We start from the raw sequence: 13741 nt of genomic DNA, 5'->3' as shown, positions 1-13741 counted from the left end.
GGGTTATGTCTTAATGATTTTTTTGTTAACTCCTATAGTATTTAGCATGCTGCTGGTTGTGGAATATGTGACTAGGTCAAACCTGTATCCTTTTTTTTTTTTTTGTCAGCATCCAAAATCTTTTTAATAAAAGGGTAGGATCCAGGGTTATTATTATTTTTTTTGTTTGGAGATGGAGTCTCGCTCTGTCCGCCAGGCTGGAGTGCAGTGGCGCGATCTCGGCTCACTGCAACCTCCGCCTCCTGGATTCACACTATTCTCCTGCCTCAGCTTCCCCAGTAGCTGGGACTACAGGTACCCACCACCACGCCCGGCTAATTTTTTGTGTTTTTAGTAGAGACGGGGTTTCACAGTGTTAGCCAGGATTGTCTCAATCTCCTGACCTCGTTCGTGATCCGCCCCGCCTCGGCATCCCAAAGTGCTGGGATTACAGGCGTGAGCCACCGCTCCCAGCCCCGGGTTAGTTTTTGTGGCCTTGGTTGTCCAGTCGGCCTCTGGCACGCTCGAACTTCCGGCCCTTGGAGCGGACGTAGGTTTTGGTGCCGCGTTTCCGGGGCCTTGCGGAAATGCCGGTACACCTCTCGGCCTTTGAGAGGACCAGAGAGCAGGACGGTGCCACAGCCCTTGGGGGACTCTAGGGCCGCGGCGGGCCCGGCTGGTCATGCGCAGCGCACAAACCTTCAGTTTGGGCACCTCCTGAACCCGCACATCATCCCTTATAGTCCCCACAACCACGGCGGTTTTGTTTTCCCGGCCAGGAAGCTTCATCTTGCGGATTATCCGGAAAAGGGGCAGAGGTGGGCCCTTGGTGCGACTCCTAAACAACCTCTTCAGCACAACCTGGTTGAATGTGGAGTTGGTTCGTCTGGCCAGAAACCTGTACAGCTTGACCAACAGCCTCAGGTAGGTATCCGGGCTCTTGGGCTCCTTGCGGGGAACCTTTCGGTCCTTGTTGTGGAGGATGTCAACTCCTATGATGGCATCTCCTATCTTGTTTCTGTTATAATAGGAAAAACTGATGCTTTCAAAGAAATACCAAAAGGTGTTTCACATATTTTTCTCTGTATTTAATGATTTGATTTTGAAAATCTGAAAAATATGATATTCAATAATTATTTGCAATATAATTGGGCTATTTTTTTCACTAAAAACATAGATAACCTAATCAAAATTTGATTGTAGGCTTGCAAAAATATTGAGTGGTTGCAATTACCAACTACTAGTAATAAAATTACCAGTTTTGTTTTAATCATTCTTGAAAGGTACTTCTCCCTGATTGAAAGGATAATAAATCTCATATCTTATCTAAATGATATGCAGTATTTATTGACACAAAGAAAATTTGTTTATATATATATAAATTGATTTGGATGTATGGATGGATGTGTATACATACACATTGAGAAAATGTGTACATATTTCTGGTTAATGAATAAAATCTTAGTTGAAAAAATCAGTAAATATGTAAGTCATAAATAAATAGAAAATACAGCATGCGAAAGAACAAAAGCTTTATGAGAATTGACCTTTAATCAGAAACATTAAGTACCTTCTGATATTCTCTATGATGTGTGGATGATGAACGTAACCTTTAATATAGTTTATTAAAGTGAATACATTTGTAAGATTTCTTGCTAAATTGAAAACATGTCCTTAGTAAATTATTTTTAAGTAATAAATAACAGTTTATTATCATTGAGTGAATAAGAAAAGAGAGTCTAGAAATGCATGAAACATACAGTAGTAAGGGAAAACTAAAAAAAAAATGTGCCTATGTAGGAAAAAATGATAAAGATTATTAAAGATAAAATAGAGCATGGATAGTTATGATTTTTAAAGTTATTTTATTTTCAAAAGTATCAAATTAATTTCATGGGTCCACATGGAATTACATATCAATTTTATAGTCATTTTAATCAGAATATTAGTAAATATGTTTTAATAGTAATTAATAAATATTTAGAATGTCACATTTACGTGAGTAGCTTTCAAAAAATAAAGAGTAGACCTTATAATTTTCATCTTGTATAGGGACCTTTTTGTTTGAAGAGCTACATTTTTAAAAGTGTTTTTAATGAATACAAAAATGTCACAGAAATCAAATATTTCTAAATAGGTGCTTGCTAGCAAAATTAAATAGTAGTAAAATTAGCGTCCTTAATATTTTTTAAATAAGGTCACTGAAGAGATTTTTACATAATCACCAAGTGCATGTAATATATTCTGATGTAAGAAATTTGATATGACGTTGGATGGATAACCAGCCTTTAATACCTGGCATTTCTATTACCAAACTTTAAGATTTTTTGTTTGTTGGTTTCAAGAACTGATTCTTATTTCAGATATTATTTCTTCAAAAACTCTTCTCAAGTATTCATTTTTCTCTGGAAATATTTATTTTTCTTTAGAAAGTCAACTTTACATTATGTTTTATTTGCAATATATAAACACATATTTCAGATAATGAATACAGAATTATTTAGAAACCAGTCCTTCCCTTTGATTTGAATGGTACCATAACAATTAGGAAAAAGACTAGCCACAGCTCTAATATTTGATTTTGCTAGTGTTCAATTGAAAAGCACTACAATGTTTATTTTATTTATAATCATGGGACCCATTGTCAGAGATATAAAACTGACATGCTACTTGTTTCAAGGTACAGGTAATTTTTGTTGAATGTTTTAAATATATTTCTCTCTCTCCCGTGTGTGTGTTAGTGGATGGGGTTATTTTAATGTCAACAGAGATATGAGGTGTAGAATAAGGTAGAAGGAAAGATAAATATTTGAAACACCAATGGCCATTTCCTTCTACTAAGTCACTAAAATTTTTGTCAAAGAAAATTAACATTGCATGTACATCTATTTTATATATGAGTGTGCATATATGTAGTATGTGTGTGCTTATCTTTTGCTTATTTTGTTTTCTGTAACAAGGAGGAAGGTCTATTGCTTGAGAGCTGGGAAAGGATTTGCAAAGTATGTCTCACTGTGAGCACATTCTCAGGCAGATTATTTTCAGTAAAGTGTGCATATTAAGGATGAAGATTGGAAAAATGGGTTTCTTGAAACTGTCCATATTTGTATGCTCCTCAAAAAGTCTTCTTGTGCTCCACAGTATACACAGTGCTTGCTTGAAAATCAGTGAACCAGAGACTTAAAAAAAAATTTCACTAAGAAAATATGCTGCATCTGAACCCTAGAAAACCTTTTTATGAAGTTAAGAAGAGGAGGAGGTTTATAAATTAGACTAGGAAGAAACACCCAAAGATGTAGGAAAAAATGAAGAATAGTTAGGTGCACTAGAATCTGAGTGAGGAAACAGTTATGAGGAACTTCTCAACTGTGTCAAATGCCGATAAGAATTTGAGTTCAATGTGAATTTGGAATTGACTTTTTTTTCCAGGATGAATAGAAACACTTAATAACAGGGGAAGCTGTCATAAAAGCCAAATTGAAATGGGTCTCCAGAAATGAAAAGAGGATCTGGAGACAGGGTAGCTTCTTAAGGAAACTTTCTTCTGAATTTTGTTACATGGGATTGCATAGAAGTAGAATAGTAGTTAAAAAGACAGAATCAGGGGATGATTTTTCTTTCTTTTTAAGATTGTAGATCATAAAGCAGGTTTCTATCCAGATAGTAGCATTCAAGTAAAGCAAGAAAAGTTGATGAGACAAAACAGAAGCAGAAAATTATGGGCTGGGTGTGGTGGCTCACACCTGTAATCCCTGCACTTTGGGGGGCTGAGTCAGGCAGATCACTTGAGGCCAGGAGTTTGTGAACAGCCTGGACAATATGGTGAAACCCCATCTTTACTAAAACATACAAAAAAATTAGCCAGGCATGGTGGCGGGCGGCTATAATCCCCGCTACTCAGGAGGCTGAGGCAGGAGAATGGCTTGAACCCGGGAGGTGGAGGTTGCAGTGAGCCAAGATTGTGCCACTGCACTCCAGCTTAGACGACAGAGTGAGACTCTGTCTCAAAACACACACACACACACACACACACACACACACACACACACACAGAAAATAAATAAAAAATGAAAGAAGAAAATTATGGATGTGAAGTCCATCAGTAAGTGAGAGGGGATGGGATCCAGTGTACATCCCTGAAATGGGAGTAAGTACGCTCCAGTCAAACAACAGCATGGTTGGTAGAGTATACAGACACAGTTACAGATGTGGGAAGGGATAATTGTGAGTGTTCTCTTCTTAATTGCTTCAATAACGTAATAAGTAAGGTCCTAAGGTGAGAGTAAGGATGAAGGAGGTGTTATTGACAATTTGAGGAGAGACACTGGAAACCCGAGTTTTAGATCACTAGTAAATCAGCTCAGTTGTGTATTTTTCCTAGCTGATTCTCATTGCAACCACAGAAAAAGCCATGTGCTGGATCTTAGCATAGCTGTGTTTTGCTTGTAGACTACAATGAAGAAGAGTACAGTTGGCAGAAGGATTGTGGATATGTGTAAGGCAATGATTATAACAATAAACCGAAATAAAAGTGAGAATATGAGGAGAGGAAACAATAGAAAAATTTCATACAGTCAATATAAACTAGGTTTCTGTGGTGTAATTGTTGTGTGGAGTGACTAGAAGTGGTGAGTTGGAAACTTTGAAGACAGTGAAAAGAGAGTAAGATGTCTGGACCTGAGATTTGGAAGTTGTGTAGTTTTGAGTTATTGGGGAAAGATATAAAACAGAAAACAAATATACACGCAACTGAGAGAAAAGACTGATGAATGGATCATTTATCTTATGTATGGATCTGTAATTGCAGAAATAATTACTGGAATAGGGATGGAGAGTGAAATGCTAAAGTGAATGAGGATTGATAACTGGGAGAACAATAGATGATAACTTTAAAGATAATAAATAAATTTTCTCTTAGGGGGAAAAAAAGAAATTATAGTCTAGAACAAGGCTGAGTAAACTATAGCTTATAGGGAAAATCCAGACTTTGGCCTGTGTGGCCAATTAAAGTAAGTCGTGTGTGTGTGTGTGTGTGTGTGTGTGTGTGTATGTGTGTGTTTTAAAACAAACAAACACCCAAAGGATTATAAATCATGCTGCTATAAAGACACATGCACACGTATGTTTATTGCGGCACTATTCACAATAGCAAAGACTTGGAACCAACCCAAATGTCCAACAATGATAGACTGGATTAAGAAAATGTGGCACATATACACCGTGGAATACTATGCAGCCATAAAAAAGGATGAGTTCATGTCCTTTGTAGGGACATGGATGAAGCTGGAAACCATCATTCTCAGCAAACTATCCCAAAGACAAAAAACCAAACACGGCATGTTTTCACTCACAGGTGGGAATTGAACAATGAGAACACATGGACACAGGAAGGGGAACAGCACACACCGGGGACTGTTGTGGGGTGGGGGAAGGGGAAGGGGGGAGGGATAGCATTAGGAGATATACCTAATGTTAAATGACGAGTTAATGGGTGCAGCAAACCAACATGGCACATGTATACATATGTAACTAACCTGCATGTTGTGCACATGTACCCTAAAACTTAAAGTATTAAAAAAAAGTTCTTATTGACACACAAACAAACAAACAAACAAAAGAAAGAGGAGATGAAGGAGGCAGCAACAGCAGCCACAACAGAGACCATATATCGGCTATAGAGCCTAAGCTTTACTCTCTGGCTCTTTAGAACAAGTTTACCATCCTCTAGCCTAGTAGCAGCAATGAGAAATTCACCTAAGAGTTTAGTTAGGTCTGAAGATATGGTTGGCTATGGAAGGGGATCAATGAAAGCTGCCACTTTGAACGACTGCAGCTAAAGCAATATCGTCAGGTTATGGCTATTTTTAGCTAGATAGGAATATACTTAGAGAAAAATTTTGAGAATATATCAGCATATATAATGATGAAAGATCATGATGAGTTCTAGAATCACAGTGAAATATTTTGGAGTGTATAAAACAGTAAGGGACTTGAATCAAATGAAAGGATGCACTACTACACATGAAGAAAGAAGTCTAGGTAAAGAATAACATATGTTTAAACATCCTGTGATGTATCACTGACGTTTAGTTATACTTAAGATCCCTGGGTTTCCTCACTTTTTTGTCTTCTTATGCAAATCTAGGATTTATGAAGTCATTGTCCAGACTATATCAGTTCCTTTCTAGGGCCACTCATAAGCAGTTTGCAAGCTCAAGATAAGTAACACATTATGAATCTGTAGAATGTGGTAATTTCTATACATGTCCATGCTAATCAAGAAACTATTATTCCTGACTGAAAGAAAACCTGTGTTGGCCGGGCACGGTGGCTCACGCCTGTAATCCCAGCACTTTGGGAGGCCGAGGCGGGCGAATCACGAGGTCAGGAGACTGAGACCATCCTGGCTAACACGGTGAAACCCCGTCTCTACTAAAAATACAAAAAATTAGCGGGGTGTGGTGGCAGGAGCCTGTAGTCTCAGCTACTCCGGAGGCTAAGGCAGGAGAATGGGGTGAGCCCGGGGGGCGGAGCTTGCAGTGAGCCGAGATAGCGCCACTGCACTCCAGCCTGGGCGAAAGAGCCAGACTCTGTCTCAAAAAAAAAGAAAAAAAGAAACCCTGTGTTATTCTTCTGGGTATTTCCCACTCAGTCAGAATATGTTGGTTGAACCGAGTGAAGCTCTCATACACTTAAAAGGTAAATGAAACTTTTCCTTAAATTTTATATAAAAAAATTAAACCTAAAAGTGTTTCAAGAACACTACAATAAGCATCCTTGTATTTATCATCTATATATAATTTTCTCTTTCTTTTTACGCTCTCTCTTCCACCCCCCACTTGTCTTTACCCTTCTTGTTCACATTTTACTATTACTGCTTTCTCTTTCTTTCTTCCTTCTCTCCTCAGCCCTTCATTTTGTGTGTGTGTGTGTGTTTGTGTGCGTGTGTATATATAGACACAGATTTTTGGTTTTTTTAAAACTGAAGTGGGTAGAACATTGTGGTTAATGATAGAACATAAATTCTTAATGAATAAATATTTTCTTCAATATAAAAACAATATAACGTAGCACAATCAAAAAGCTTAACATCAATTCAATAATTCTACTTAGTATTTGAACCCAAATTCACTTTTTCCCAATTCTCCTCATAATATCCTTTATAGATGTTTTCTTTGTGACCCAGAATCTAATCTAGAATCATTTTACTTGTTATGAATTTAGTTCTTCTTTGATCCAGGAGAGTTTTCCCTAGAATACTGTTGCCATTCATGACATTAAAGCCTTGCAAAAATATGCAGTTGAAGTTGAGAAACTACTTTTCCATAGTAGACTCTTTTTGTTTGTTTCATACAAGTGAAAATGTGTATGTAAATTTAGCATACAAATTAAAATGATAAGAGCTGATTGTCTCTATTTTAGTGTCCATTTCGGTGAGAGAATGACACGAAAATAATAGCAGTGGGAATTTTTTTCTGAGAAAGCTGACTTTTGTAGTATAATATGTTTACTGAGTGTAAAAGGTAATATAAGTAATGATATTTAAAGAAAAACATAAATGCTTAATCACACACTCTATCTCCATTACTTGCTTTACCACAAAAACTAAGCCAGTTTCTTTAACCAAAAAAGCAATAGAGGTTTTGCTTTGAAGCAATTTTCTTACTATATAAATCTACTGAAAACTGATTAGTGTGATTTATTGTATGCTTTGAAATATAATTATTTGATTTTCTGTACCGTAGAAAAGCAGTGCAATATAATTATTTGATTTTCTGTACTATGCTTTAGTATGTAAAATTCGCCATGTATTTATCTACCCTGTAATTTCATGGTGTTACAATGTTATTACTCAATAATGACATAGCAATTACTCTATAATTGCCCTATCACTGAATAGTTATTATCACATAATTAGAGAATACATTTTCAAAGATTGGGAAAAAATACGGCAATTTGGGCCTTGTAAACAGTTATTGTAAACTTAAATATATTAGAGCTTGCATATAAAATAAACCCAATAAATGCAATTTAAAATCCTATAAATAGTTAATGAAAGTAGTTGAGGATTAAGTTTATGACAAGTATATAATCTTGTGATTATATTAATGGAGCAATTATTTACTTCTCATTAAAATCTATTAGTAAAAGTGTTATTAATAATAAGCAATAATGTACACAATTAAAAACAGGATCAGGAATAATAAATGATAGTCTTTATTAGTGGGAAAATAATAAATGAAACAGCTAAAGAGAATTCCTCCTCTATGTCATTATACAGAAGTATTATTTGCAAGTATTAAATATGGTAACACTTTGAATAGAAATAAAAATAACTATACATTAAATCATTTGTGCTTCTTAGTTTCTGTACTTTTTTAACTTGTGCTGCATGCTGCTAATATACATTTGGTGACATGATTTCGCTCTAAATCAAAATTCTAAAGTAAATCAACATTTTTACCAGTCTATTAAAAATACCACAGCTCCTCCAGATTAATTATTAATTTCCAGAATATTACATTTTTATTTTTGCATATTACACTAGAAATCTCCTTCTCCTAGGCCATCTATAAAATGTTTCCTAGGAAGATTGATGAGTCTTTTGTACCTGAGTCAGATATAAGAACACTGACATTGTCTGTACCAGAACTTTACTATTTCTTCTTCTGGAAATTCACTGGTAGAGTAACTTTTTCTTTTTTCTTTCTTTCTTTCTTTTTTTTTTTTTTTGAGACAGGGTCTCACTCTGGTCATCCAGGCTGGAGTGCAGTGGCACAATCTCGGCTCACTACAACCTCCGCCTCCCAGGTTCAAGTGATTCTCCTGCCTCAGCCTCCAGAGTAGCTGGGACTAGGAGCACACGCCACCATGCCTGACTAATTTTTGTCTTTTTAAGTAGAGACAGGGTTTCGCCATGTTGGACAGTCTGGTCTTGAACACCTGTCCTCAAGTGATCTGCCTGCCTCAGCCTACCAAGGTGCTGGGAATACAGGCATGAGCCACCGCCTCCAGCCAGAGTAAACTTTCAAAAGTGCATCAATTTCTTTCTCTTGCCTGATTGCCCTGGCCAGAAATCTAATACTATGTTGAATAGGAGTGGTGAGAGGGCATAGGAAGAGAGAAAGCCAAGTTGTCTGTTTGCAGAAGACATGATTGTATATTTAGAAAACCCCATCATCTCAGCCCAAAATCTCCTTAATCTGATAAGCAACTTCAGCAAAATCTCAAGATACCAAATCAATGTGCAAAATTCACAAGCATTCCTATACACCAATAATAGAGAGCCAAATCATGAGTGAACTCCCATTCACAATTGCTACAAAGAGAATAAAATACCTAGGAATAGAGCTTATAAGGGATATGAAGGACCTCTCCAATGAGAACTACAAACCACTGCTCACACAAACAAATAGTAAAACATTCCATGCTCATGGATAGGAAGAATCAATATTGTGAAAAGAAAGGTCCATACTGCCCAAAGTAATTTACAGATTCAATGCTATCCCCATCAAGCTACCATTGACTTTCTTCACATAGTTAGAAAAAAACTACCTTGAATTTCATATGGAACCAAAAAAGAGCCCGTATAGCCAAGACAATCCTAAGCAAAAAGAACAAAGCTGGAGGCATCACACTACCTGACTTCAAACTATACTATAAGGCTACAGTAACCAAAAGAGCATGGTACTGGTACCAAAACAGATATATAGACCAGTGGAAAATAACAGAGGCCTCAGAAATAACACTACACATCTACAACCATCTAATCTTTGACAAACTTGAGAAAAACAAGCAATGGGGAAAGGATTCCCTATTTAATAAATGATGTCAGGAAAACTGGCTAGCCATATGCAGAAAACTGAAACTGGACCCTTTCCTTACACGTTATACAAAAATTAACTCACGATAGATAAAAGACTTAAATGTAAAACCTAAAACCATAAAAACCCGAGAAGAAAACCTAGGCAATACCATTCAGGTCATAGTCATGGGAAATACTTCATGACTAAAACACCAAAAGCAATGGCAACTAAAGCCAAAATTGACAAATGGGATCTAATTAAACTAAAGAGCTTCTTCACAGCAAAAGAAACTATCATCAGAGTGAACAGGCATCCTCTAGAATGGGAGAAAATTTTTGCAATCTATCCATCTAACAAATGGCTAATATCCAAATCTATAAGGAACATAAACAACTTTACAAGAAAAAAACAACCCCATCAAAAAGTGAGTGAAGGATAGGAACAGACACTTCTCAAAAGAAGACGTTTATGCAGCCAAAAACCATATGAAAAAAGCTCATCATCACTGGTCATTAGAGAAATGCAAATCAAAACTCACGCCCATTAGAATAGCGATCATTAAAAAGTCAGGAAACAACAGATGCTGGAGAGGATGTGGAGAAATAGGAACACTTCTACACTGTTGATGGTAGAATAACCTAGTTTAACGTTGTGGAAGACAGTGTAATGATTCTTCAAGGATCTAGAGCCAGAAATACCATTTGACCCAGCAATCCCATTACTGGGTATATATATATATATATATATATATATATATATATATACACCTGAAGGATTATAAATCATTCTACCATAAAGACACATACACATGTGTGTTTATTGTAGCACTATTCACAATAGCAAAGACTTGGAACCAACCCAAATGCCCATCAATGATAGACTGGATAAAGAAAATGTGGCACATATACACCATGGAATACTTATTACATTTTTTTTGCAATTTTTTAGTACAGATGGGGTTTCACTATGTTGGCCAGGCTGATCCTGAACTCCTGACCTCAAGTGATCTGCCCACCTCAACCTCCCAAAATGCTGGGATTACAGGTGTGAGCCACTGTGCCCAGCCCTTTCTATGTCTTTTGATTGGAGAGTTTAGTCCATTTATACTCAATATTATTATTAATAACTATGGAGTTACTCCTGCTATTTTGTTATTTATTTTCTTGTTGTTTCATCATCTTTCTTCTTTTTTTCATTCCTGTCTTCCCCTAGTGAACATGATTTCCTGGTGATATGATTAATTTCCTGTTTTTCATTTTTTGGGTATCCATTGTGTTTTTGGTTTGAGGTTGCCACGAGACTTGCAAATACTATCTTATAACCCATTATTTTCACCTAACAACTTAATACTATGTAAAAAAATAGCAGATAAGTAAAAAGAAAACTAATAAAAACTCACTTGACTTTGTCTCCTTGATTTTTTACTTTTTGGTGTTTCTATTTGTAGCTTATTTTACTATGTCTTGAAAGTTGATGTAGTTATTGTTTTCATTGGTTTATAGGTTAGCTTTTCAACTTAGAATAAGAGTAGTTTACACACCACAGTTATAATATTTTGTGTGTTATTACCAGTGAGTTGTGTACTCTCAGATGATTACTTCTCATTAATATTCCTTTCTTTCTGGTTATTTCTTATAGGACAGGTCCAATGTTGACGAAATCTCTCAGCATTTGTTTATCTGGGAAGGTCTTTATTTCTTCTTTAATTTTGAAAGATATTTTCACTGGATATACTTTTATAGGGTAAAAGGTGTTTTTTTTTTTTTTTTTTTTAGTACTTTATGTATGTCATGCCACTCTTCCTGGCCAGTAAGTTTTCCACTGAAAACTCTGCTGCCAAATATATTGAAGCTGCTTGGTATGTAATTTGTTTTTTTCCTCTTGTTGCTTTTAGGATTCTTTCTTTATCCTTGACCTTTGGGAGTTTGATTATTAAATACCTTCAAGTAGTCTTCTTTGTGTTAAAACTGCTTGGTGTTCTGTAACCTTCTTGTACTTTGATATCGATCTCTCTCTCTCTAGGTTTGGGAAGTTCTCTGTTATCCCTTAATAAACTTTCTATTTATCTCTTTCTCTACCTCCTCTTTAAGGCTAATAACTGTTTTTTTTTTTTTTTTTTTTTTTTTTGAGTCAGAGTCTTGCTCTGTTGCCCAGGCTAGAGTGCAGGGATGCAATCTTGGCTCACTGCAAGCTCCGCCTCCCGGGTTCACTCCATTCTCCTGCCTCAGCAGGCGTCCACCATCATGCCTGGCTCATTTTTTATATTTTTCGTGGAGACGGGGTTTCACGGTGTTAGCCAGGATGGTCTCAATCTCCTGACCTCGTGATCTGCCCGCCTCAGCCTCCCAAAGTGCTGGGATTACAGGTGTGAGCCACTGCCCCCGGCTGGCTAATAACTCTTCTATTTGCCCTTTTGAGGCTATTTTCTGGATTCTGTGGGTGTGCTTCGTTAATTTTTATTCTTTCTTTTATCTCTTCTAAGTGTGTATTTTCAGGTGGCCTTTCATTAAGCTCACTAATTCTTTCTTCTGCTTGTTCAGTTGTGCTGTTAAAGAACTCTGATACATTCTTCAGCATGCCAGTTGCATTTTTTTCAGCTCCAGTGTTTCTATTTGATTCTTTTTTAGTTATTTCAATCTGTTCATTAAATTTATCTGATAGAATTCTGAATTCCTTCCCTGTGTTATCTTAAATGTATTTAAATTTTCTCAGCACAGCTATTTTGAATCCTCTGTCTGAAAGGTCATGTATCTCTGTTTCTTCAGGATTGGTCCCTGGGGCTTTATTTAGTTCATTTGGTGAGGTAATGTTTTCCTGGATGGTGTCGATGCTAGGAGATATACTGGTCCGCACTGTCTGAGCTTATTTGTATTCATCTTTCTTGGGAAGGCTTTGCAGAGATTTGAAAGGACTTGGGTGTTTTTATCTAAGTTGAGTCTGCTTTAGGGGTTACATGAAGCCCAGTGACACTGTGGTTCTTGCTGACTTATAGAGGTATGATCTTTATGGTCTTGAACATGATCTGGGAGAATTCTCTGGATTACTAGGCAGAGACTCTTGTTCTCTTCCCTTACTTTCTCCTGAACAAACAAAGTCTCTCTCTATGTTCTGAGCAACATAAAGCTGGGGATGGAATAACACAAGCACCCCTGTGGCCACCACAACTATGACTGCAATGGGTCAGACTTGAAGCCAGCACAGTGCTGGATCTTGTCCAAGGCATGCTATCACCACTCCCTGGCTATTACCTATGTCGTTTGCTCTAGGCTCTGGGCAGTGACACAACAGTGGCAATGGCAAAACCAGGCAGGCCTGTGTTCTTCCCTTCAGGGTGATGAGGTTCCCTGGGCCCTGGGTGGTCCAAAGATACTGGGAGTCAGGAACTAGAGTAAAAACCTTAGAAGTTGACCTGGTTTTCTATGGTACTGCAGCTGAGCTAACACTCAAAACACAGCAGGCACTCCTTCCCACTCTTCTCTCCCCTTTCCAAAGGCAGAGAAGTTTACCCTGTAGCCACTGCCACCCTAGGCCATAGGTGTACTGCTGGATTGCCTCTGATGTTCCCTTAAGGCCCAAGGGCTCTTAAGTCAGCTTATAGTAAATGATGCCTGGTCTTGGACTCACTCTTCAAGGTCGAAAAGGTATAGGAGTCAGGAAGTCTTTGCCACTGGATACTATACTTATTTTTTTGGTGTTCTGGAACATAAGGTATCAATAAGCATTCCTAATTATCTCTCAATATAAAATGAAATGCATAAAAATCTCCTTATAAAGTTATGCTAATTATTACATAAGCTTCCTTGTTGTACCTGCTTCTCAGTTTCTTGAGAATCATCAGCCATCACCTCCAGTGATCAAGTAAGAAATATCCAAATAACCAATATCTCTGACAGGTATTACAGTAGACTTAAAAACCTGAGGTTTATTTATTTTGCTCACAGATGATGGATATTGGA

At 37.0% G+C, this 13741-nt stretch overlaps 1 pseudogene; it reads right to left on the bottom strand.

The window, feature by feature from the left end:
* Positions 455-988, bottom strand: RPL18P8 (ribosomal protein L18 pseudogene 8; annotated as a pseudogene).

Source organism: Homo sapiens, chromosome 11 (genome assembly GCF_000001405.40).
Source record: "Homo sapiens chromosome 11, GRCh38.p14 Primary Assembly".
Taxonomy (NCBI): Eukaryota; Metazoa; Chordata; class Mammalia; order Primates; family Hominidae; genus Homo; species Homo sapiens.
This window is presented reverse-complemented; position numbering and strand designations above follow the sequence as displayed.